Below are 25,073 nucleotides of genomic sequence, written 5' to 3'. Positions count from 1 at the left end.
CCAAAATTAATTTTACCTCCACCTATCAATAATGAGGCAGCAGACCCCCTTCTCTTGCCAAAGCAATGTCAAAAGAAAAACAATCCAGATGAACCACAGGATCTAAATAATACAGAAACATCCCAGTTTCAACTGGAAATCACACATCATACCAAGAATCATGAAGATCTCAAGCTGCATGAAAAACAACAATCAATAGGTGCCAACACCAAGATGACAGAGATGTTAGAGTTACCTGAAAATAATTAAAGTAGCCATGACAGAATGCTTCCAGGATCAATTATGAATACACTTGAAGCAAATAAAAAATAGAAAGCCTTTGCAATGAAATAGAAGATAAGAAGAACCAAATGGAAAATTTTAGAACTGAAAAATACAGTATGAGAAATGAAAAATTCACTGACACCTTGAACAGAAGAATGGAAAGGACAGAGGAAAGAGTGAAGTGGGAGACAGAATAACAGAAATTACTGAATCTGAACAACACAGAGAAAAGAGACTGAAATAAAAAATAACAGAGCCTCAGGGACACAACAAAAGGAACCAAGAGTCAAGAAACACAACAAAAAATCTAATATTTAAGTTTCTGGAGTTCCAGAAGGAAAGGAGAAAGAGCATGATAGTGAAAAAATGCTTACAGAAATAATGGCTGGAAACTTCCTAAATTTGTGAAGAGACACAAACTTACAGATTCAAGAAGCTGAACAAACCGTAAATAGGATAAACCAAAGAAATCCACACCAAGACACATACTAATTAAACTTCTGAAAACTAAAGACAGAAAAAAGTCTTCAAAGCACCAAAGAAAAACTGAGAAAACTGAAAGGAAAAATAGACAAGTACAGAATTAGAGTTAGAAATTTCAACACTTTTCTCTCTACAATTGATAGAACTAGACAGAAAATCAACAAGAATACTAAAACACTCAACACTGTCAACTCCCAGGATCTAATCAATATTTACAACACATTCCCCTCAATAACAGAAAAATATGCATTCTTTTCAAGTGCTCATGTAAAATAGATAGACCATATCCTGGGCCATAAAGCAATCTAAAAAACTTTAAAAAATATAAATCATACAGGGTATGTTCTCCAAACACAATGAAATCAAACTAGAAATCAGTAACAGAAAGATAACAGGAAAATCTCTGAACACTTGGAAACTAAACAACACACTTCTAAATTATCTTTGGATCAAAGAGGAAGTTTCAAGGAAGACAGAAAAATACATTGAACTTAATGAAAATGAAAATACAACACACTAGTGTTTGTGTGACACAGCTAAAACAATGCTGAGAGGAAAAATTATACTACAAAATACCTATGATCAAAAAGAAGGAAAAGCCTCAAAACCATAGTCTAAGTTCCCACCTCAAGAAACTAGAGAAAGAAGAGAAAAATCAACCCAAAGAAAGCAGAAGAAAGAAATAATAGAGAACAGCAGACATGAATAAAATTGAAAAAAAATAAAATCAATGAAAAAAGAGCTGTCTCTTTGAAGAGAACAATAAAATGGACACACTTCTAGCAAGACTGATAACGAAAAAAAGGAGGAGAAGATGCAAATTGCCAACATGAAGAATGAAACCGGGAATATCATTACAGACCCTGCAGACATCAAAAAGATAAAATAGAATACTATGAGCCACTCTACACACATAAATTTGACAACTTAGATAAATCAACTTCTTAACCACAACTCACCCAATATGAAATAGATAATTTGCATAGCCTTATAACTATTAAGGAAATTAAAGACATCATTTCAGAAATCTCCAAGCCTGGATGATTTTACTGGACAATTGTACCAATTCTTTGCAGAATAATTAACATGAATTCAAAAGCCATACATATGAGAAAGGAGAAATAAAATAGATAACATGATTATCGCTGTGGAAAATCCCAATGAATCTACATAAACAATACCTCCCAGAAACTAATAAGTTAGTTCAGCAAGGTGACAGACAAGATAAATATACAAAACTGATTGTATTTCTATGTATTAGTAGTAAACATGTGAACATAAAAATTAAAAATACAATGCTATTGAAATCACTCAAAAATTAAATAACTAGATGTAAATTTTTTTGATATACAGAACTTGCATGCTGAAAACTACACAACCACTATGAAAGACATCAAAGAAAATCTAAATAAATGAAGAGACATACCATGTTCATAGATTAGAAGACCCAACATAGTAAAGATGACAATCCTCCCTAAATCAGTGTTTAGGTATGGTTGATATACAGCAATTCCTGTCAAAGTTTCAGTAAGATTTTTTTGTAGATATACACAAGATTATTCTAAAATGTATATAGAAAAGAAAAGGTTTTAGAATAGCTAAAACAATTTTGAAAAATAAGAATAAAGTGAGAGCATTTAGTCTACTTGATTTTAAGCTTAATATATAGGCTTATATAATCAAATAATAATACAATAATCAAAAGTTCATGGTATTGGCAGACAAATAAACATACAGAACAATGGAACAGTACAGAGAACCCAGAAATAGATTCACAAGAATACACCCCACTAATTTTTAACAAAGGTATAAAATCAATTCGATGGAGAAAAATAGCATTTATAGAAAATGGTGCTGAAGCAACTGGATATCCATTTGCAATAAAATGAACTCCAACCTAAATTTCACACCTTTTACAAAAAGTAACTCATAATGAATTATGTACATGTGAAACTATAATACTTTTAGAAAAAAACAGAGGAAAAAATCTTCAGCATCTAGAAGTAGACAAAGAGTCCTTAGACTTGACTCTCAGAGCCGATCCATAAAAGGAAAACTTGATAAACTGGACTTAATCCAAATAAAAATTCTGCTCTGCCAAAGACCCTGCTAAGAGGATGGAAAGACAAGGTATAGACTGGGAGAAAATATTTGCAATCCACAAATCCTACAAAAGAGAAGTATCCAGGCTATAGAAAGAACCCTTAAAACTCAACAGTGAAAGAGCAAACAACCCAATTAGAACATGAGCAGAAGATATAAAGAGACATTTCCCTGAAGAAGATACCTAGATGCAAATATGTACATAAAAAGATGTTCGACATCATTAACCATTAGGCAACTACACATTCAAACTACAATGAGGTATCACTAGACACCTATCAGAATGGCTAAAATAAAAAATAATGGTATCAAGTGCTGGTGAGGATGTGAAGAAACTGGGTCACTCCTACATTGCTGGTGAGACTGTAAAATGGTACAGCCACTCTGAAAAAGTTTGGCAGTTTCATATAGCAAGAACCATGTGACCCAACAATTGAATTCCTGGGCAGTTACTCCTAAATAAATGAAGACTTATGTTCACACAAAAACTTGGACATAAATGTTTATAGCTGCCTTATTGTAATAGCAAGAAACTGGAGAGCAATCCAAATGTTCTTAACAAGTGAGTTATTAAACAAACTAAGATTACTTGGCAATAAAAGGAAGAACCTATTGACAGACACAACAACCTGGATGAATCTCCAAAGAATTATGCTGAGGGAAAAAACAAATTTATTAATCCACTTATATAACATTGTTGGAATGACAAATTTATGGAGATGGAGAACAGATTAGTGGTTGCCAAAGGTTAAGGAGGGTGGGGGACACGAGGAGAGTAGGTGTGTGTATAAAAATGCAACATGAGGAATCCTCGAGGTGATGGAAACGTTCAGTTAGTTCACTGGATCAATGTCAGTAGCCTGGTTGCGAGGTTGTACTATAGTTTTGAAAGACGTTACCATTGGGGGGAGACTGATGAAAGAGTACACGGGATATCTTTGTATTATTTCTCACAACTGCATGTGAATTGACAATTATCTCAAAATAAAAAGCTTAATTTTTTTAAAAAGCCAAAAAGTTTAAGAAATCAAAAAGAGAAAAGCTGTCAAAAGACACTCCGTCTAAAGACAGAGTGAAAAAGCAAGTCACAGAGTGAAAGAAGATATTCATGATACATAGATCCAACCAAAGACTTGTCATCAGAGTATACAAACAGTTGCTAAAGATGAGTTAGAAAAAGACAGACAAAACCGAATGTGTTGTTGCTGTTTTGTTGTTGTTGTTGTTGTTGTTTGAGATGGAGTTTCACTCTTGTCGTCCAGGCTGGAGTGCAATGGCGCCATCTCGGCTCACTGCAACCTCCGCCTCCCTGGTTCAAGTGGTTCTTCTGCCTCAGCCTCCCAAGTAGCTGGGATTACAGGCATGTGCCACTACGCCTGGCTAATTTTTGTATTTTTAGTAGAAACGGGTTTTCTCCATGTTGGTCAGGCTGGTCTCAAACTCCCGACCTCAGGTGATCCACCTGCCTTGGCCTCCCAAAGTGCTGGGATTACAGGCATGAGCCACCGCACCCAGCCCCAAATGTTTTTAAAGTGAGGGAAAGGCTTGAACAGGCAGTTCACAAAAGATGTTTAGATAGCCACTGGGAATATGAGAAGGTGCTCAATATCGTTAGTCATCAGGGAAATGCAGTTAAAACCATAATTATAGCACACCCAACAGAATGGCTAAAATTAAAAAAAAAAAACGACCATACCAAATGTAGGCGAGGATGTGGAACAACCAGAACCTTCCTGCCTTGTCATTGGAAGCAGGAAAGGAAATAGGCCATTTTGGCAAACTGAGTGGTGGGATCTACTAAAGTTAAACAACTACAGTGCTCAGGCCAGCATTTTCAGTCCTAGAGAACAGTGCATGTATGTGTCCACCCAGGATGCGTACTGGAATGCTATACACGTTTTAGTAATGACAGCCCAAGGGCCAGGCACGTTGTGGCTCACACTTGTAATCCCAGCACTTTGGGAGACTGAGGCGGGCAGATGGCTTGAGCCCAGGAGTTCAAGGCCAGCCTGGGCAATATGGCAAAACCCCATCTCTACAAAAAATACAAAAATTAGCTGGGTGTGGTGGCGCGTGCCTGTGGTCCCAGCTACCTGGGAAGCTGAGGTGGGAGGATCGTTTGAGCCCTTGGAGGTCCAGGCTGCAGTGAGCCAAGATCACGTCACTGCCCTCCAGCCTGGGTGACAGAGCAAGATCCTGTCTAAAAACAAAAACAAAACAAAACAAAATGAAAACAGCCCAATGCCAAAAACAATGAACAAACCCATGGTAAATTCCTACAAAGAGAGACTACTCAGGAATTTTTAAAAATAAAATAAAAAATCATGGATACACACAACAAAATGAATGAATCTCAAAAAGTTCATGTTGCTCAAAAGAAACAAATAGAAAAGACCACATACTGGAGGATTCCACTGTTATGAAGTTCAAGGGCAGGCAGAACTCATCTACAGAGACAAAACTCAGATGAGTGGTGACCTGCAGTGGGGGCTATTGGCTGGGAATGGGCACAGGGCAACCTTGCTGGGCTGGAAATCCTTACTACCTTGAGCCAGGCGGTAGTTGCATGGGTGTAAACGTAAGTTAATATCCCCTGGCTGTCCACCTAAAATGTGTGCATGCTACTTATATACGTTAAAACTCAACTGTAGAAAATAGTGTTCAATGGCTTTTAGGTGGATAAATGAGACACAGGGGAAGAGAAGGAGGGAGGGGCTGAGCTCCGTGGGTCAGGAGAATCAAACCCAGACCAGAAACTGACTCGGCTATTAAAACCAGCACCTGTTTCCAGGGACCCAGGAGGCCCCAGAGACAAGGGAGCACCCTGCAGATTCCTGGGCAAAAATCCTGCCCGGCCACAGGGCGGGCTGGGCCACAAGACTGTCCGTGGATGTGGGCCCAGCTTTCCCCCACTTGCAGGAATGCCCAGGCTGGCGCAGGTCTCGGCCTGAACATGTGAGCTCTCGGGCGAGGCTGAGGCAGGGTGGAGGCCAGGGTGGGGGAGCCCAGCCCACGAGGGCTCTGGGTGGACACCCAGCAAGCAGGAGGGGCTCCGTGGGAAGGCCGGGAAAAAACAGTCCCTGGCAGAAAAACTCAGGTCTGCCCCAGGCTCCCCTATAGCTGGCAAGGAGCAAGCATCTAATAAATGTCTGCTGAGCTGCGGTGAATTCCCAGGGCATGGCGACACTCAATGGCTCCATTCCCAGGGAGCTACTCTATGAGTTGCCTCGCTGATTGATTAATGATCAGGCTTTGTGAAACAGTTTACAAAGCACTTCTGACAAATCAAACTCGGGGTTCAGATCTCGGCCCTACCTCTCAATAGCTGTGTAGCTGTGGGCAAATCACTTAACCTCTCTGTGCCCTCATGTCTTCAACTTAAAAAAAAGGAGGGATGATAACAGCACCCTACTTCCTAAGACTGGGTGAATTCATATGTGTAAAGCTCTTAGAATAGTACTTGGCACCCGTAAGTCACACAGGCAGTTAGTGGCACACGCAGGTCTCAAACCCATCTCTATCTGACTCTAGAATCACTACATAGCAGTTCACCATGACAGCCACTGCCCCGTCACAGCCTCCAGGCACTTCACATGTGGCTGGTCCAAATAGAGAGGTGTCGAATTCTGAAGGCTTTTTCCAAAAAAAAAAAAAAAAAAAAAAAAAGGTGTAAAATATCTCATTAATAATGCTTTATGTTAACTAGAAGAGAAAACGTGTAATGTTCCCACACAAAGAAAAGATAAATGTCGGGAGGCCGTGGCAGGAGAATGGTATAAACCCGGGAGGCGGAGCTTGCAGTGAGCTGAAATCGCGCCACTGCACTCCAGCCTGGGTGACGGAGCGAGACTCCGTCTCAAAAAAAAAAAAAAAAGAAAGAAAGGAAAAAGAAAAGATAAATATTTGCAGTGGTGCATATCCCAATTACCCTAACTTAATTATTCCACATTGTGTACATTGATCAAAATGTCACGACTCCCAAATGCATACAACTATATCAATAAAAATATCAAAAAAGAATGCTTTATAGTAGTTATGTGCTGAGACAATTGCATTTTGGATCGATTGAATTAAATGAAATATATTATTAAAATACATTTTGCCTATTTGTTCTTTTTTTTTTTAATGTGACTACAAGAAAACGTGACATCATGCCTTTGAGGTTCACCTTGGATTTCTGTCCGACACCCTGCCCCTGAGTTTTGTCTTTGACACTCTCTCTCTCTCCCAACTTTTAAGCCCCTTGCTTCTCCCTACGTGAGGCACTTTGTTTCCTCCAGGAGAAGCTCAATCCTGAAATTGTTCCCATCTCATCAAAACTCACCCCCTGCATAAGAGCAGCCCGATTTCTGGTGGTCAGAGGGTGTCCCCAGAAAAGAGGTTTCATTTCAGCAAACAGGTCATCTTCTGCCAAAGGAGACAAAATGTGAATTGGGTGCCTCTGGGTATTGGCCACTAGCTAGACATGGGTACCCACCAGCCAGACATAGGTATCACTAGCCAGATGCGGGTATCCACTAGCCAGGCACAGGTATCACTGGCCAGACACAGGTATCACTAGCCAGACACGGGGTATCACTAGCCAGACACAAGTACCCACTGGCCAGACACGGGTATCCACTAGCCAGGCACAGGTATCACTAGCCAGACATGGGTACCCACTAGCCAGACACCGGTATCACTAGCCAGATGCGGGTACTCACTAGCCAGACATGGATATCCACTAGCCAGGCACAGGTATCACTGGCTAGACACAGGTATCACTAGCCAGACACGAGGTATCACTAGCCAGACATTGGTACCCACTAGCCAGACAGGGATATCCACTAGCCAGATGCGGGTACCCACTAGTCAGACAGGGGTATCCACTAGCCAGGCACAGGTATCCACTAGCCAAACACAGGTATCACCAGCCAGACACAGGTACCCACTAGCCAGACACGGGTACCCACTAGCCAGGCATGGGTATTGAGTGGAGGACTGCTATGGTCTGATTGTTTATGTTCCCCCAAAATGCAAACCCCCAAGGTGATGGTGTTAGGAAATGGGGCCTTTCGGAGGTGATTAGCTTAGGGGGACAGAGCTCTCATGAAAGGGATGAGTGCCCTTATAAAAGAGACCCCATAGAGAGACACCTCACCCCTTCCACCCTGTGAGAAAGTGTGGTTTACGAACCAGCCTGCCCTCACCAGACCCTGAATCTGCTGACGCCTTGATCTTGGACTTCCAGCCTCCAGAATAAACATCTGTTATTTACGAGCCGCCCACCCATCTATGGTGTTTTGTTACAGCAGCCTGAATGGACAAAGGCAGGACGTAAAGCTCCTTGCACAAGTGTATGTATATACACAAGCTGCGTATATTAAGGTGCCCAAGGGAGGTGGGCGGCTGGCCCTGAGCCTCCCCATTCTCCTGGCTCCTGGCTCCTGGTCTCTTGCTCACCAGGCAGGTGGACCCCTCAGCAGAATCCAAACCACCCATTTGATGCCAAGGGACTCCCCAGCCCCCATCACGGCATGGAAAACTACATGCACAAGGGCTTCTGGGGACAATGGATTTAGCCAACAGAATCTTGAAAGAGCGCAGGACTCAACCCCATACTGCCTCTGACCTGCCCCTTCCCTCTCTCTGCCTCAGTTTCTCCATTTGTGCAGGGCAAGAGGTCTGGACCTGATGCTCTCTGAGGTCCTTACTGCCTATTGGATAAAGTATAAAACAAAGAGCCATGGATGGAGTCTGGTGTTTCCCAGGCTGCAGCTGGGCTCTGGGCCAGGGCACACCCTCCGGACTCCATGGGCAAACAGATGGGGACAGTCAAATGGGCCACTTGGCAGAGGCAGGCTAGACAAGGCTGGGCTGGCTGGCACCAGGCAGGATGCCCCCATGGTCAGCCCGGGCAGCAGGGAGTGTCTGCAGGACGGGACATGCTTGGGGGCCCACGCCTCCAACCCCGAGGTTCCCCCACCACCTTCCCTCCCTGGGCTCTCTCTCCAGGAATGAGAGCCTCAGCAGCAGGCAGGCCCATGTCCCTGAGTGACCCCACCTAGGCTCAGGCCCAGGGCTGTGAGGCGCCAGCAGCTCATGGAAGCTCGCAGTGGGGTACAGGTCTGTGGAGACTCCAACCAGCCACAAGCCATCAGCCTCATCCTCAGCCCTCCGTCTTCAGCTCAGATGCCACTGGCTGGGGCCAGGAAACGAAGGGTTGTGGGATGACCTGCCCAGGTGGGAGCTGAGAAAGGCTCTGACACATGGCTGGTGCAGGGTGGCTGCCCTGGGTTCAGGTCCCAGACACTCTGCTTTCCAGCTGCACTATTTTGAACAAGCTATTTCCTCTTCCTGAGCCTCACTTTCTCCATCTGTGAAATGGGCATGATCCCAGTGTCTTGCTCTTAAGAGATGATGTCAGGACTACATAAGGAAATGAAATGCATGAAACTTTTGCTGAAAGACAGCTAAAACAAACTGATGATAAGAAAAGAACAGAAAAAAAACTGATCTGGTCTGTTCTTTCAAGAATTGCACCTCACACTGGGCATCAGGAAAGATACTGATTCGAGAATCCAAGGTTCCTGCTGGAAGGAGACCCTTCCTTGGGCCTGTCAAGAAAGTGACCCGCATTTGCCCCACTGGGCACTCAGCCCCAAAAGGTGGAGACTTAGCATAATGTCAGAACCCAGACATTTTTTTTTCCTATTGGAAATTTTTATTATCTTTAAATCCAATTCTGAGGGTACGAAAGTCACAAATGTAGCCTCTGTGAGTCACGAGCCGTCGGCAGAAAAATGCTATTGAGACTTGAAGAGGGCGGCAGAGATCTCCAAAGATTGGGTGGGTTTCTTTAAGCCTCTCAGAAGTTCTCATTTCACAGCCAGCTGACATGCACATAAAGGAGCAAGACTTTTCCCAAGGAAATGTCTCACACAGCCAGGGCAAGGCTAGTCACCCCCACAGATGCCTGTGATCACTGCATCAGGCCTGCTGTCAGCTGTCCCGCTGGGAGGGCAAGGTGCCCATCCCCTCCTGGCCACCAAGGTGTTTGTTTCTTTGGGTTTCTACCGATGAGCCAGGGGCTGCTGATTTTCTTGGCTGTTTCTAAGGCCAAGAAATGTGTCGGGCAGCCTCGGGTACTGAGGCAGGCCAAAAGAGTTCGGGTGCCAGGCCCCAGACATCCAGCCCAACTGCCCAAGGCTGCTTGCTCCCAGTCACATTAGTGACAGCCCATCCCTCACCATGAGCCCTCGCCAGGCTCTGTGTGAAGGGCCTGATGCATGAGGTCTCATTGCAGCCCCACAGGAACCCCTCAAATTGCTATCTTTATGCCCATTTTGCATATGGGAAAACTGAAGCTCAGAGAGGTGAAATGACATGCCCAAGACCCCACTTCTACAAAGTGGTAGAGCTGGGATTGGAATGCATGTCTTTCTGGCCCAGTATCTGCCCCCTTCACCATGCTTCTGCCTCCTGAACTTAAGTCACTAAGAGTTATTTGCCAGCGACTACTACATGGATAGCCTCCATTAGGAACAGAATGGGGACAAGCATGATCCCAGTCCTGAAGAAACTTGTGGCCTGACTGAATGAATAAGCGAAAAAATGAATAAACAAATGAATGATGTGGAGCCTCTGACAATAAACTGATTGAGTAAGTTTTCCTTCTTTGGAATCCTAGTTGCTCTAAATCGGCAGAATCCTGAAAATATTTAAATGTGCTTTTGGATCTGCCTGAGCCTTAGAAAAGGGCTTACTCAAGTGTCACGTTTTGGGGATAAGGCCCAGAAACAGGGACCAGGAGGCATGAAACAGGGCAAGAGGACAAGCCCATCTGAGGGTGTGTCTTACAGCTGGCGCTGCTGCAGAGTGCACACCTCGCCAGCATGAGTCAGATGGCTGAGAAGCTCCCAAAGGCACTGCAGCAGAGAACCCCAGAGCAGAAAGGACAGACTGTGGCAGCAGGAGTGGGTGTTGTCAGATTTTTGCCCCCATGCAGCCAGCTGTCAGCAGAAGGGCTGCAGTAAGGAAGGTGGAGATGATTTGAGGCAGGACACAGAAAGTGTCCAACACAAGGCCCACTGGTGCATTTGTTCATTCTATCGATGTTTATACTAAACCAGATGTTGGAGACAAATAGATATGAGATGGACTGATGGATGGATGGATGGATGGATGGATGGATGGATGGATGGATGGATGGAAAGGCTGGTGATGGAGCCCAGATTCCTCTGCTATTAATAGCCCAGGCACCTCTGCACTGGGAATGAGTCCAAAAAACAAAAGGAGATCCTGAGCCAGGTTGGAGCTGGAAAACCAACAAGACACCCTGAAACAAATCTTTATGTCTGATGCAATTGGCTTGGGGGCTGGGAGGTGGAAGGTGGCCTTCAGCCAGGAGACATAACTTATCTCCTGATGGGCCTACAGAAAAGCCTCCCAGCTCTGGAGCATGTGGGCCAGGGTTTTAATCTCGGCTCCCTTTCTTTGAGGCTGGCTGCATTACCTTGAGCAAGTCACTTGAATTCTCCAAGTCTTGTTTGCCTCATATATAAATGAGGATAGTAGGAGTTCCTGCCCTTGGCCATCTCTGCTGCAATTGTGTCCCCCTGTGGAGGAACTCTCATCTCGTGGTATACCTGGCAGCCCCTTCTCTGGGTGAAGAAACTGGACCTTGAAGTGCAGAAAGTTCTCTTAAGATCCCAAGATCATATCCCAGACTAGAATATCTGGTCACCAATTCTACCACTAGTCTACAGTGATAGATTAATGGGTAGGCCAGTGGGATTTGGAGCCCCAGCTGTGATTCTGAATATGACATGGGCTACTCCAAGACACACATGGAGTCTTTAAGAATACCCCATGGCCTGCTCCAAGTCTGGATTCATCTGTATTCTATTTACACCTCCAGATGTTGACCATCACTGAGTGGAAGGTGGCTACATCACCAAGGGGCATAATCCAGAGGTGTTCTTAGAAAATGAGATGAGCTGTCCACTTCCCAAATGGAGTATGCCAAAGGCACTTATGGACTGGGAGCCCTGCAAGGGGAACAAGAGCCACTCCCATTAAGGCAGAAAGGTAGGGAGGGAGAGATGAGTTTGTTAATTGATCAATTGATTGGCTATTGAATTGGTTAGTTGGTTATTTAATTGGTTGGTTGGTTAGTTGGTTATTTAATTGGTTAATTAGTTAGTTGGTTGTTAGGTTGTTTAGTTAGTTGCTTATTGAATTGGTTGGCTGATTGGTTAGTTGATTGGTTGGTTGGTTGGTTGATTGGTTGGTTGGTTGGTTGGTTGGTTGGTTGGTTGGTTGGTTGGTTGGTTGGTTATTTAACCGATTGATTGGTTGGTTGGTTGGTTAGTTGGTTGGTTGGTTGGTTGGCTGAATGGTAATTTAACCGATTGGTTGGTTGGTCCAAATGGTAAAAGTGATCGTCATCCCTGGAGTTTGCCAGACTGGCTGCATCATCAATTCATTCCTTCATAGTCAGGCAGTCATTCATTCAATGCATTCTGACTGCCTCCTGGGTGAACATTCTGGTAGCAGTGAAGTCTACCAGCTCCCACCCAGGTACAAGCAGTGTGTGGAGCCACAAAACCAGATTCTGTGAATATAGACAGCCTGTCTGCTGCTTCCCCCTGTGGCCTGGCCCAAGTCACAGGGAGTCAGCCCAAGTGGTCAAGCTCTGAAGCCTTGATCATGTGCCTATCTCTCTGGGGCTCAATTTTTTGGTCCATGAAGAGGGGGCAACATGGGCCTCTCTCTTCCAGGGCAGCTGTAAGGGCAGAGGAGATGGTGCCTGAAGCTCTCTGGGCTCACAGACGAGTGCTCTGGGTGGCAGCAGTGGAAAGGACCTGCTCTACTTGAAGGAAACCTGGAAATTGAGAAATGCTTCCTTCAAAAATGATTTTAGGACTGTTGGCAATGGACCCTGTGTTCATTTCCTGGGGCTGCTGGAAGAGATTGCCACAAACCAGGTGGCTTAAAACAACAGAAATTTGCCCTCTCACACTCCTGGAGGCCAGGATCCTGAAATCAAGTGATACAGTTTGGCTGTATCCCCACCCAAATCTTGAATTGTAGCTCCCATAATCCCCACATGTCCTGGGAGAGACCTAGTGGGAGGTAACTGAATCATGAGGATGGGTCTTTCCTGTGCTCTTGTGTTGGTGAGTAAGTTTCACGAGACCTGATGGTTTTATACAGGGGAATTCCCCTGCACATGCTCTCTCTCACTTGCCTGCCGCCACGTAAGACACGACTTTGCATCTCCTTTGCCTTCCACCATGATTATAAGGCCTCTCCAGCCCCGTGGGACAGTGAGTCCATTAAACCTCTTTTTCTTTATAAATTACCCAGTCTCAGGTATGTCTTTACTAGCAGCATGAGAACAGATTCATACATCCAGTGTGGGCAGAGCATTCCGCATGCCACCTCTGCCCCGCCCCACCCCTGGCAGCTCTTGGGAGGAAACTTCCCGCCTCCTTCAGCTTCTGGGGGCTCTGAGTTCCACGCCTTGTAGCCACATCACCCCCATCCCTGCCTCTGTCTCCACATGGCCTTCTTCTTTGTGGCTGGGTCTTTTCTTTTGTCTTTCCCAAGGACATTTATTGTATTTACTGTCCCCTCCCCCAATATAGGATGACCACATCTCAAGATCCTTACTTAACTATATCTGCAAAGACCCTATTTTCAAATAAGGTTACATTCTGAGGTTCCAGGGGGACATGAATTTTGGCGGGAACACCCACTATAGACACCCAGGCAGGGATGGGCAAGTGACCCACCCAGCGGCCTGGAGCCAGTAGGGGACCACCTACTCTTCCACTAGGCACAGCAAGGTCCCCTCCTGGCCCATCCAGGCTGACAGCCCCAGCCCCCAGCTCCGTGGCTCCTGTTGCTTGTGGGATGCACCATCCCCTCCCAACAGCAGACATGGAGTGGGGCAAACTTGAGTGGTCCTCGGTGGGTGGAAACTGCCAGATGGAGTGAGTATGAGCTACACAGCCACCGACAAGTGGGCATGGTGGTCCACTGCCAGGCATCAGGAAAGCAAAGTCAGACAGACCTCCAAGCATGGGCAAACCTTGGGGTCAGTCCGTAAAGAGAGGCACGGTTCCTTCAGGTGGGCCTGGTGGCAAGGTGGCCACTGCAGACAGAGAGGAGGGCCCCTGCAGAGCCAATGGGCCATGTGCTCAGAGCTGGTGGTGGGTGCAGTGTCCACACCAGGGAGAGGAAGGGAGATGAGAGCAGAGATGTCACCAGGATGCTAAGCTAAGGCTTTGGGCTTGATCCAGGGATATTCAGGGGAAAGGCAGGCTCAGAGCCTCTCACGCCATCCTTCGGCCACCCCCACTTTGGAGAATGGATGGGGACTAAGGCAGGGAGACCCATCAAGAGGCGATGTCTATGTGAGCCACACTGGGTTGCTGCCAGCACGATCCAGGATCCAGCAGGGATGGCAGGCAGGGAGGAATAATCCCCTCGGGGGACCACAGTCCTGTCTGCATCTGGGGCTGGGGGTCCTGGAGCCCCCAGGGCAGGAGGGCGGCACATGGATCATCTCCTGGAGACAGGCCCTGGCTCGGAGACACGAGCCCCCATCACACGCCGAGCACAGCCACGACAAATAATTCACCGGAGAGACTTCCTCCACAAGGGGGAGAAATGCCCAAAGGTCCCTTTGTCTTAAAACATTAATGTCCAAGTTTAAATTGGGTTGGGGGACGGAGGAGGGGAAGAGGGGAAGGCGGGGGCAGCAGAGCCGTCACTGGGCATCATTCATAAGCCACACACTGGGCCCTTCATCGGGCCCAAAACTCACCCTTGTGGCTACGCAAAGATTTATTGAAGCCTCAGCGTGGGCTCATTTATTTTCCTCCAAACTGATTTGAAAAGACCGTTTGCATCTGCCCTGGAGAAAAAAAAAAAATGTGCATATTTGGCAAACTTTGTTTGAAAAATCTGCTTGTCCCCAAAGAAGTGACTTCGTGTTTGGTCGGGGGCAGGGGCTGTGTGTGTTGGGGAGGGACTGGGGCTTGCTCCTTCCCTGTCATCTGCCGGCCAGGGAAAGCACCCAGAGCATGAACTCAGACATCCTCTCCTGCACACTGGGACCTACAAAGCCGTTACATGCGGGCCCTTTGCTCTGAGACCAAGATCTCCTTGTGACTTTTTCTAGCTCTCTCGGTGGCATCTGTGCCCAGACAGCTACAAAGTGCAAAGAAAAGTGTAAAACAGAGTATGGAAAAATAGACAATAATAAATTCAAATATCAGCTCACTTTGAGAAAGGAGTAAATGCTCCATTTGCCCCCTTCAGAAAAGAGAAATGTCATTCATGAATAAACCTTGACCCTCTTCATAACCTGAATATACAAAGAGCTCTTACAAATCAGTAAGAACAAGAAACACAATAATAGAAAAATGGACAAAAGATGTAACTGGGACATTCATAAAAGGAAAGTGGGATCAGTAAATACAGGTAACAAAATGTTTCACTTACCAATAATCAAACTTAAAGCATTCCTCCAATCAGTGTAAGCATAGACAACTAAAATATCATTTTGCACTTACCAAATTGGCAAAGGTGTGAAAGAACAGTGGTGAAATTTGGAGAGGAGAGGTACAGGTGGTGGGACCTATCATGGTAACCCCTTTGTGGAGAGCTCATTGACAACAGGTATCCACAACTCAGACCTAGGCAAGCTCTTTGACCCAACAACTCCATGGAATTCAGAGGTTTGGCTCCAAGGGGCATGAAGCCTTATCTAAACTCCCAGAGCATGAGACTGGCTCCTTACTGTGGTCTCCAGGCATGCACTTGCCCCTCAGCGGGCAGCAGCCCTGGCCACATGCAGCCTTGCATTCCAGGAAGCTGTGGACACGTGCCTCTCCCCGACAGTGGATGGTGTCTGGGCTCTGGGTCTGGTGGCTGCAGAGACTCCTGTGAGCGGTGGGTGGAAGCCACAGGGAGCTTGCACTCGGGTCTGGAGGAAAGTCCAGGAACCTTGGAGAGCAAGGAGCCCAGCCAGCTGCAGGGAGGCAAGCAGAGCAGGCCTTGGTCTCCTTCGACACAGATGCCTCTGCACAGCCTCACCTAAAGCAAAGCTCATTCCCCCAAGATTACGGCAGCCCCACCTGCCACCCCAGAGTCGTCTACCCCTGCAACAATGACCTCAGAACCTCAGTGCTGGAAGGACCCACAGAGAACACCCATGCCAAGCCCCTGGCTGACAGATGGGGAAATAGAGCAGTGACTCTCTCAAGGTTGTCCCAGCCATGAGTCAGCGTCAGGGGCCTGACAGCCTCAGACTCTCAGACGTTTCCCAAAAGGGATCACCAGAGGCCACGTGTCACCCTGCTGTTCACAGGGGTTCTCAGGCCACCAGCTCCTCCCACAGTGTGGCCCTGCCTATCAATATAAATGTGTCACTCATGAACGTTTATGCTCAAGTCCCCATTGCTTGGGGACACAAGGGAGACTGAAGTAGACAGGCTTCTGCCCCACTAGTGGGAAATGGCACCATGTCCAGGCCGACGGAGCCCAGACAAGGGTCTGCCCTGGTTTGGAAGGTCAGGGAGGACTTCCCTGCAGAGAGGTTGGGGGCTGTGTTTGAAGGAAGAAGAGGGCCTATGTGGGGTCTCCAGGCAATGGAAGACCCTCCTGAGGCGACACCTCCAAGCCAAGCTCTGCAATCTGGAGTGGCTCCCTTACCTGCGACTCCGCGGGCACACCCTCCTGAGCTCCTGCTACGCACCTGTGCATCCAGCTGTCCACAGAGGAGCCTCCCTGCCTTCCGATGGCTGGTGTCACCACAGTCTTGCCATGAGCCTGGCACCAGAGAGCTCTCCACACACCTCTATTCTTACACAGTTCTCATCAGATTCATTTTACAGATGAGAGGACTGAGACACGGAGTGTTGAAGTTTCCCAGGGTCACGCAGCTGGGAAAGGGGAAGTAAGAATTTATCTGGCTCTAAAAGGCATTCTCTCTGCCCTGACGTCTCCTGCTTCATGGTCCCTGCCAGCCCTCCTGGCTGGACCTCTAGGTCTATAGCCTGCAAGTCTCCGGGATCCGATAGGCTCGGAGTGAGGGGGCACCTGTGCCCTTTCTCTTCCCCGCCACCTCGCCACAGGCTCCCCACCCTCCCAGGCCCGCAGAAGGGGGCTCCTTATGGGAAGCCCACCTGGATGCCAGCCATTCAGGGGTGGAGGCTCTTGGGTGCACGCCCAGGAGCCCACGGGTGTGGAGCAGGCCCCGGGTGTCTCGTCAATCCTGTTTCAAGCCATTGGCCTTTCCCATGGAAGATGTTGAGGAAGACAATAAAGACAGCGACCCAGGGCAGAGGTGGGAGGCGGCAGTCAGGAGTGGAGTGGAGAAGGGTCTTGGGTGGGGTGGGGAGCATGGAGGGAAGTGGTTGTCCCTTGGGGTAACAAGCACCCACCTCTGCCAAGCCTGAGAACATGGTCGGCATTTAGTAATTGCTTGGTGATTAAGATTACCCCCTGCCCCGAAAAAGAGGCACATCCACTATGTACGTGATGGGTGTGACTAAGGAAGGTACTTGCTCTCTGATACCTCCTACGGCAGAGGACGATGGGGAGGGCCTGGGCCCAGGTCAGGGGGTGGACACCAGATCCAAAGGCCGGCCCCCAGCACCAGCTGCAGACCTGTATACAGAAGGCACTCAATACTTGCTTGTCAAGTGAACGCGTAAGCTAGGTGCACCTGCCCTTCTTCCCCACAAGGGGATGGCAGTTTATTCACCACTGAGTCCCGAACCCTGTGCCTCACGCAGAGCCTGCACACGGCGGGTGCCCAGGAAGCCCCTCTTGCCCTGTGTCTATGGATCTTATGACTCCAGGCACCAAGACCGGGGGTTGTACCTTCTTTAGGGGCACACGTCCCCCACTGCCCAGAGCCTGAGGCAGAGGCGTGTCCCAGCAGGAGACAGTCGCATTCATTCAACCAGCAGCTCCTGAGGGACAGACAGTCCCCACACCTGATCCACCTGTCTTCCCAGAGTCTGCATACAGGGGTTCCCTGGGAGACCCTGACTGCTGAGTCCTGTTGGAGGGAACAGCCTCCAGTCAGAGCCCCTGACCATGCTGCGGGGTCTGCAGGGACCCCACAGAGTCTCCTTGGGTGGCATGAGAGGGAGAAGACCCCTCCCATAGCAGCGGCTTGCCAGGGGGTCTCTGACACCATCAGCCAAGACACCTGTCTGTGGAGGAGCATGATTATTGTTGGAGAGCATGGAGGGAGCTCAGTCACCAAACAGATGAACAGATAAACGAAATGTGGTCTCTTCACACATTGGAATAGTATTGAGCCTTAAGAAGGAAGGAAGCTCAGACACACACTACAACACAGATGAAGCTAGACGACATTTGCTGGGTGAGATAAGCCAGACATGAAGACACACATGCCGTACAATTCCGCTCACATGAGGTGCCCAGAGAAGTCAAATCCACAGACACAGAAAGAAGAACAGAGGTTACCAGGGGCTGGGAGGAGTTGCTGTTTAATGGGTACCCAGGTTTTGCTGAGGACTCTGGAAATGTTTGGGTATAGGGAGCAGCAGTGGCTATACCTCATCATGAATGGATGAAATGCCACAGAGTTGTACACTCACAACTGGCTAGAATGATAAATATTATGTTATATTTTACCACAATTTAAAAAATAATAGTGGCTGGTCATGATGGCCCACACAGGTAATCTTAGCACTTTGGGAGGCCAAGGCAGGCAGATCACCAGAGGTCAGGAGTTCAAGACCAGCCTGGTCAACATGGTGAAACCCCGTCTCTATTAAAAACACAAAAAATTAGCTGGGTGTGGTGGCTGGCGCCTGTAGTCCCAGCTACTCTGGAGGCTGAGGCAGCAGAATCTCTTGAACCCCGGAGGCGGAGGCTGCAGTGAGCCGAGACTGCGCCACTGCACTCCAGCCTGGGCAGCAGAGTGAAACTCAGTCTCAAAAAATAAATAAATAATAAAACTAGTAAGGCAGGTGTGGCCTCAAACCAGGCTTCACTAGGTAGGAGCTGTGGGGCTGTGGGCAAGTCACTCAACCTCTCTGTTTCCTGCATGTAGCATGAACATCACAGCAGCGCCTCCCTCCGGGGCACCTGTGGGAGTCACCTGCACAGGCGTGTGCCAAAAATCACACATGCCATCCGTCGGATGACAGTGGCGGGCCCTCACTGGAGCCAGAAAGACTGGGTGAGCCTAGATTTGGACTCCCAGGCTCACAGTTCAGTCCTGACGTCACCTCTCAGCTTGTGCCTCTGTGCCTGGGGCTGCAGTTTTCTTATCTGTCCAAGGGCAGGCTTAGCACCTGTCCCATCACCTCACAGGGATGGCAGGAGGTGCCGGGCAGGCTGGTTTCATAAGAAGTTCCAAGACCAGGGACAGCACCTGCCTTATGGGCACACGTGCCCCACTGCCCAGAGAGCCAAAAGCAGAGACGCCTCCCAGCAGGTTGTGTCCACGTTCATATTTGTCTGACCAGCAGCTCCTGACGGACAGGCAGGCCCCACACTTGATTCACCTGTTTTTCCCGCCCCCATTGTAGAGTGAGTGCATGAGCAAACACCTCTTTTAGCTCAATACATTCTGTCCCCAAACTCGGAAATGCTGTGCCATTCAGATGGAAGCACAGTGCTTCAGAAGAGCAGATTCCTTCTCTCAACCAGGAAGGTGGGCCGTGAAAGGGCACAGAAGGAAATGTTTTGTGTGGCTCCCGAACCCCATAACAGGCCAAGAGAAGAAACAGGGAGAAAGAGACAGACAGAGGGAGACAGGGTGATAAAAGGAAAAGGAGGAGAAAGGAAAGAAAGAAGAAGAAAAAAGGAGAGGCCGGGCATGGTGACTCACACCTGTAATCTCAACACTTTGGGAGGCCGAGGTGTGTGGATCACTTGAGGCCAGGAGTTTGTTACCGGCCTGGGCAAAATGGCAAAACTCCATCTCTACTAAAACTACAAAAAAATTAGCTGGGCGTGACGATGGGCGCCTGTGGTCCCAGCTACTCAGGAGGCTGTGGCAAGAGAATCGCTGGAACCCAGGAGGCAGAGGTTGCAGTGAACAGAGATTGCACCCCTGCACTCCAGCCTGGACCACAGAGCGAGACCCTGTCTCAAAAAAAGGAAGGAAGGGAGGGAGGGAGGGAGGGAGGGAGGGAGGAAGGAAGGAAGGAAGGAAGGAAGGAAGGAAGGAAGGAAGGAAGGAAGGAAGGAAGGAAGGAAGGCAGGCAGGCAGGCAGGCAGGCAGGCAGGCAGGCAGAAAGACGGAAAGAAAGGAGGAGAAAGAGAGGGAGTTAGAGAAATCAGAATGAGCTAAAGACCCACCCATCAACATGTGTTTCCCTGTGTTATTAAAACACTTTGTCTTTACAACTCAGAAAATTAAAAAAACTCTGCCAGACCCAGGCTCTCCACATCAGTATTCATGACATCTGTCTTCTCCTATAAAACTCTCTGAATGAAGCCTCCCCTAGTAGAAAACGACTCTCTCCTCTCTGCCCGCTCTTTCTTTCCCCTTCAAAACAGATTGCGAGACAGATGATTGCATTGTTTTGTCCGATTTCCATCTGAAAACTCCCCTCCGTGTTGGCCACTGGGCGCCCCTATTAAGGCCCGGGCACTGAGGGGCCACGTGGGGTGGCCGAGCCTCTGTCGCCCGCTCCCTGGGGCCTTTCCATCGGAAGAGGAAAAAGGACCCAGCAGACAAAGGTGCGGGACATAAATTAAGCCCGAGCTTTTTAAGTTCAAACTGAATTTTCTTTATTTTTTCACAGCTGTCAGAGGAATCGGGTAGAACTCCAGTAACGCATGTTTAATGTATTAAAAAGTGGGGGGGAAGCAAACCGTCCACTCCGAATGTTCCGTCCGCCGACTTGCATTGGGAACATTATTTCGGGCCAGTGAACTCCGAGCAAGTCAAGTGTAGAGACATGGACAGGGGCCAGGGACCCCCCACCAGAGGCTGTCATATCTACTGAAAGCCCACTTGTCATAGCTGGACGGGGGCAGGAGGGGGACAAACGTCTCAAAGTGCTGGAGACTGCCGCCAAGTCGGCTGGCTTCACCGAGGCTGGCTGGCTGGAGCTGGACAGCCCACGAGGCCTTATGGACCACCATACCATCCCAGCCAAGCTGCGGCTGGCCACCTCACTCCAGGCCCTTCCTTGGGCCCATGGGGAGGGAGGGCTCTCTGGAACCCAGGCCTGGTGACGCAGCCAAGAGAGCGAGCTTTATACATAAGCGCCAAAGGTCGCTATGGTTAGGTCAAAAGACATGATGGGTAAACTGAGGCAGGGAGTCCAAGGGCTTCCACCCAGCCGGGGTCCTTCTCCCTGCGCAGCGTGGCCCAGAAGGAGCAGGAGAGGACGCGAGGCAGATTGGAGTCCCGGCCATGGCTGAGCAGACATGTGACCCTGAGCAAGTTGCCAGGTGACCAAGCTCGCCTGTGCCTCATGTTTGAGCTTTGAGTGAGGAGCCCACACTGCTGGCCGTGTGAGCTGTCATCGGCCCTGCTACTGTCATGACCACCACGAGGCCTCAGGAAAAGAGGAAAAGAGGACGGTGTGCCTTCCTCCCTTGGCAGCCGGGACACACCCCACCCACCAGTCCTCACCAAGTGCACGGCCCACAGGGCTCCAAATTCAGCCTTTTCCCAGGCCAGTGACGAAACCCCGGGGGCGGGGGGAGAAAAACAGCGTCCCTTCAATAGCACGTGTTCACCACCCCTTCCTCAACACCACATCCCCCGATGAATCACTGTCTGGGAGAGGGGTTCGCTCCAGCCAAGGTCAAGGCAGGTTTCCCAACCAGACTGGCTGAGTGAGTGCCCCGCAACATGGCCAGGTCTGATTCTTGCGCCGACAAAAGCTGACCCTCAGCGAACACGAACAGCTTCTCCAGCACTGACTTACTCAAGAAAGGTCATCTCCTCACCCCCTTTCCAGATACAGAAGCTGGGGCTTGAAGAAACTCCGTGGCTGACCCAGGAGCCAGGGTTTAGCTCTGAGGGTATTTCCTCTGCGTGTCTCACCCACCGTAAGCGGGCCGGAACCATCTGCCCTGGACGCCTGTGCCATCGGAAGCCACTCCTTCTGCTGGTCATTCACTAAGTCCCTCCAAGGCCCTGCTGCTCTCCCTCCACCCTCCAGTAAGCAGCCCAGGTCAAACAGAGCAGGGTGGAGATGGAGGTCCCCCCTGCCACCCGAGCCCGCCAAGGCCATGAGGACTCTGCCACACCTTCCCACCTTGCATCTCCAGGCAGGATGGTATCTGGGGCCTCCGCCGTGCACACCCAGCCCCGCTCCCAGGCACCCCACAGCAGTCAGACTTGGACCCGTTGAAATCTACTCATGCCAGTCAGATTAAACAGTGTCCCCCCAACGGGGCCCCATGACACAACCGTCAAGGCCTGTTCACTCAGGGAGGAGATGACCTCTGCTCCTGCCTGCACAGACCCAGAGGAACAGAGCTCCTCCACCCAGCCCCGGGCAGCCATGAGTCCGGGCCTCCCTGAGAGGTGCTGGGTGGGCCCCACCCCCCAGCACCATCCTCCCACCTGAGATCCCTTTGGACCCACGCGCCTAGGACTCAGACCAAGGGCAACGTTTCTAAAAGAACCCTGGACACTGCTGTGCCCTGGCCTCAGGTGCAACCTCGAGCACATCCTGGCTCCTTCTGGGCCTCAGTTTTACTGACTGTAAAACGGAACAAACATCTCCGGTGCCCCCCACCCCATAGGGTCACAGTGATTCTAAATGAGCAAAGTAGAGGTCCCTAGAAAATCATCAGTCATGACCTGGCTGCTGTCCTGAACACTCACCCGGGAGCCCAGAGAGAAAAGGCCAGGGTGCCCTGGGCTGAGTATTCCCGCTCCATGTCCTGAGGGCAGCAGAGCCCCAGCTTCCCAGGGACCCCAAAAACACCCTTCTTTCTGGGCCTCTGTGTCAGCATCTGTGCATTGAGGGGTCATTTCTAAGGTTCTTCCAGTTTTAACCCTTTTCTTGTTTAGGGGGAAAAAAAAGTGCGGCTCGAAGCCAGCACTCATTTAATTTTACATAAACACACTTCTTGAGGCTGAAGCAAATCTGACTGCTTTTCAATGAGAAAATAAAACATAAAAACTGTTCTTGGAGTCATTTCTAAACAGAACTAACATCAGACTCGCGTGAATCATCAGAATCGTCTATTTTGGAAAAAACGGATTCGTCAAATCAATCTTTGGCCAACAAACATCCGAGAACAACCACGCGTAGGAATTCTGTGTTTTCTAGGATGTGACATTTTCAGCGATCGAGAATGACTCTATTTTGTAAATGGAAATGCCGCTACTAGAAACAGAATGCTATGAGTAGGATATGACGTCTTTTGTTTCCAAAGTCAATATACTAGAGCGATGCAAAAATAATAATAAAATCGAGCTATTTCGTGGCGGAGTTATCTCGGGGTAAACACTGCAGTCGCAAGCCCCTGGTGAGTACTCTCAGGACAAATGGGAAAAGGCTTAAACTCTGTTTTCCTCTGACTCAAAACCCACAGGGTCCCCAAAGTGGCCACTTGCTGCTGCTGAGGGTCGCAGCTGGTTCCACCTCAACCTCTTTGACGCGAATGCACCCCGGGGCAGCTCACACCCCTGTGGTCGTCCTCCGAATGCCAGGCAGTCTCAGTGAGGAGCTTAGGCCAGCAGCTCGCAACGGGCAGGCAGCATCTCAAAGAAAACGCCCACAGTGCATGGGTGCCTGCCACGCTCAGAGGCCCCTGATGGAGCTGCCACAGGGACTGGGCAGTGTTCACAGAGCCTGGACCTAGTTCAGCTTAGAGACCAGGAGCTGGGGGGAAAACACCAACCCCCGGGGCACCGACAGCCTGAAACCATCAGGAGCAAAAGCCACACACAGCGGGGAGAAGAACTACCTGGACCCACCAGAGCCCCTCTTGGGAGGTTGAACTCAAGACGGCAGGAGCAAGAGCCGCCAGGGAAGGCGCCCCGACGGAGGGCGGGTCACCGGCTCTGTTACCGTCCACACTGCCATGTCCAGGGTGGTCAGCGCCGGCCCAGCCTGGTGTTGCACATCAGGAGAGAGAAAGGCTGGGTGCAATGACAGGTCTGCCTGAGGGTGAGAGGGGGCCCCCTGCTCAGTGAAATGCCAGCCAGAGGGGGTGAGAGGGAACCCTCGGTTTGGTGAAATGCCAGCCAGAGGGGGTGAGAGGGAGTCCTCCATTCGGTGAAATGACAGCACTGTCTGAATATGGCCTGCTTGATGGGCAGGGCACTGTGGGAAACTGTCCGTGGCTTTCTGCCAATCCCCCCACTTTACAGATGAGGACAGCGCAGCTCATGGAGGGGAGGTTGGCTGAAATCTCAGAGCCAGTAGAGCTAGGGACTGTGAGAGTCAAGTCCCCGCCACTCACCCTGCCCTGCACAAGCTCCTGCAGTACAAGGAGGACCAGGGACACCAGAGGCAGGCAGAGAGACGATTATCATAGGCTTGAGCACAGAGTCACCCCAGCACAGGGAACCAGGGCAAGGCAGGGCATAGTTCCAGTTGAGGAGCCACTTGGACCACCTGCCAGGCCCCTAGGTGGTCCTCCTCCCCAGACTGGCTCAGCTGTGAGGCTGCCTTAGGTGTCTGAGAAGCCAACCTTGAACTCCGCAGCTCCATGTATGGCTCCGCAATGAAGCAGGTGACAGCAAGCACCCAACCTTGGTGAGCCTCAGACCTCCCCCCAGGTAACCCCTGGCTCCCTCAGGGCTGCGGGCACCTTCTCTACAGCTAGGGACTTCTCCAGGCCTCTCTCACCTGCCTCACGCTGGCTCAACCTGCAGCCTGGCTTTGGACATCATTCTCCCGGGAAGCATTCCCTGGCCCCTGAGAGCAGGACATGGGCCTCCTCTGGACTCCCCTACCACCTTCCCTGCCACCTAGAGGAGCCACTTCTGCCCTCCATGTTCCCTTCCCCTTTGCAGGACAAGGGCAGAGACTGTGTCTGCTTCTCCCCTAGGGCCTAGAACAGTCTCAAAGACCCAGCCGACCAAGGCACATTCCCAGATCCCAGAGCCAGCAGGCTGAGGAAGGACACAGCCTGCAGATGAGTGGACAGTAGAAAAGGCCCAAGTTGTGAGGTCTTGCAGACCCACCTTGGGGTCTGAGGAGTTTGAGGAGGTATAGTCAAGTCATGTGCCTTTCAGGGGTCTGTGTCCTCATCTG

General features: G+C 49.4%; 4 annotated features.

Annotated features, from left to right (window-relative positions):
• Positions 17,220–17,719: an enhancer, noted in NCBI's record as "H3K4me1 hESC enhancer chr11:68976423-68976922 (GRCh37/hg19 assembly coordinates)". NCBI's record gives its function as "activates a minimal SCP1, AML or CMV promoter by ChIP-STARR-seq in primed H9 embryonic stem cells {active_cell/tissue: H9 hESC(primed)}" and the evidence as "EXISTENCE:reporter gene assay evidence [ECO:0000049][PMID:30033119]".
• Positions 17,720–18,221: an enhancer, noted in NCBI's record as "H3K4me1 hESC enhancer chr11:68975921-68976422 (GRCh37/hg19 assembly coordinates)". NCBI's record gives its function as "activates a minimal SCP1, AML or CMV promoter by ChIP-STARR-seq in primed H9 embryonic stem cells {active_cell/tissue: H9 hESC(primed)}" and the evidence as "EXISTENCE:reporter gene assay evidence [ECO:0000049][PMID:30033119]".
• Positions 18,603–19,103: an enhancer, noted in NCBI's record as "H3K4me1 hESC enhancer chr11:68975039-68975539 (GRCh37/hg19 assembly coordinates)". NCBI's record gives its function as "activates a minimal SCP1, AML or CMV promoter by ChIP-STARR-seq in naive H9 embryonic stem cells {active_cell/tissue: H9 hESC(naive)}" and the evidence as "EXISTENCE:reporter gene assay evidence [ECO:0000049][PMID:30033119]".
• Positions 19,104–19,604: an enhancer, noted in NCBI's record as "H3K4me1 hESC enhancer chr11:68974538-68975038 (GRCh37/hg19 assembly coordinates)". NCBI's record gives its function as "activates a minimal SCP1, AML or CMV promoter by ChIP-STARR-seq in naive H9 embryonic stem cells {active_cell/tissue: H9 hESC(naive)}" and the evidence as "EXISTENCE:reporter gene assay evidence [ECO:0000049][PMID:30033119]".

The sequence above is a fragment of the Homo sapiens genome, chromosome 11 (assembly GCF_000001405.40).
Source record: "Homo sapiens chromosome 11, GRCh38.p14 Primary Assembly".
NCBI lineage: Eukaryota > Metazoa > Chordata > Mammalia > Primates > Hominidae > Homo > Homo sapiens.
Note: the sequence above shows the minus strand (reverse complement) of the source record. Positions and strands in the feature narration are given on the sequence as shown.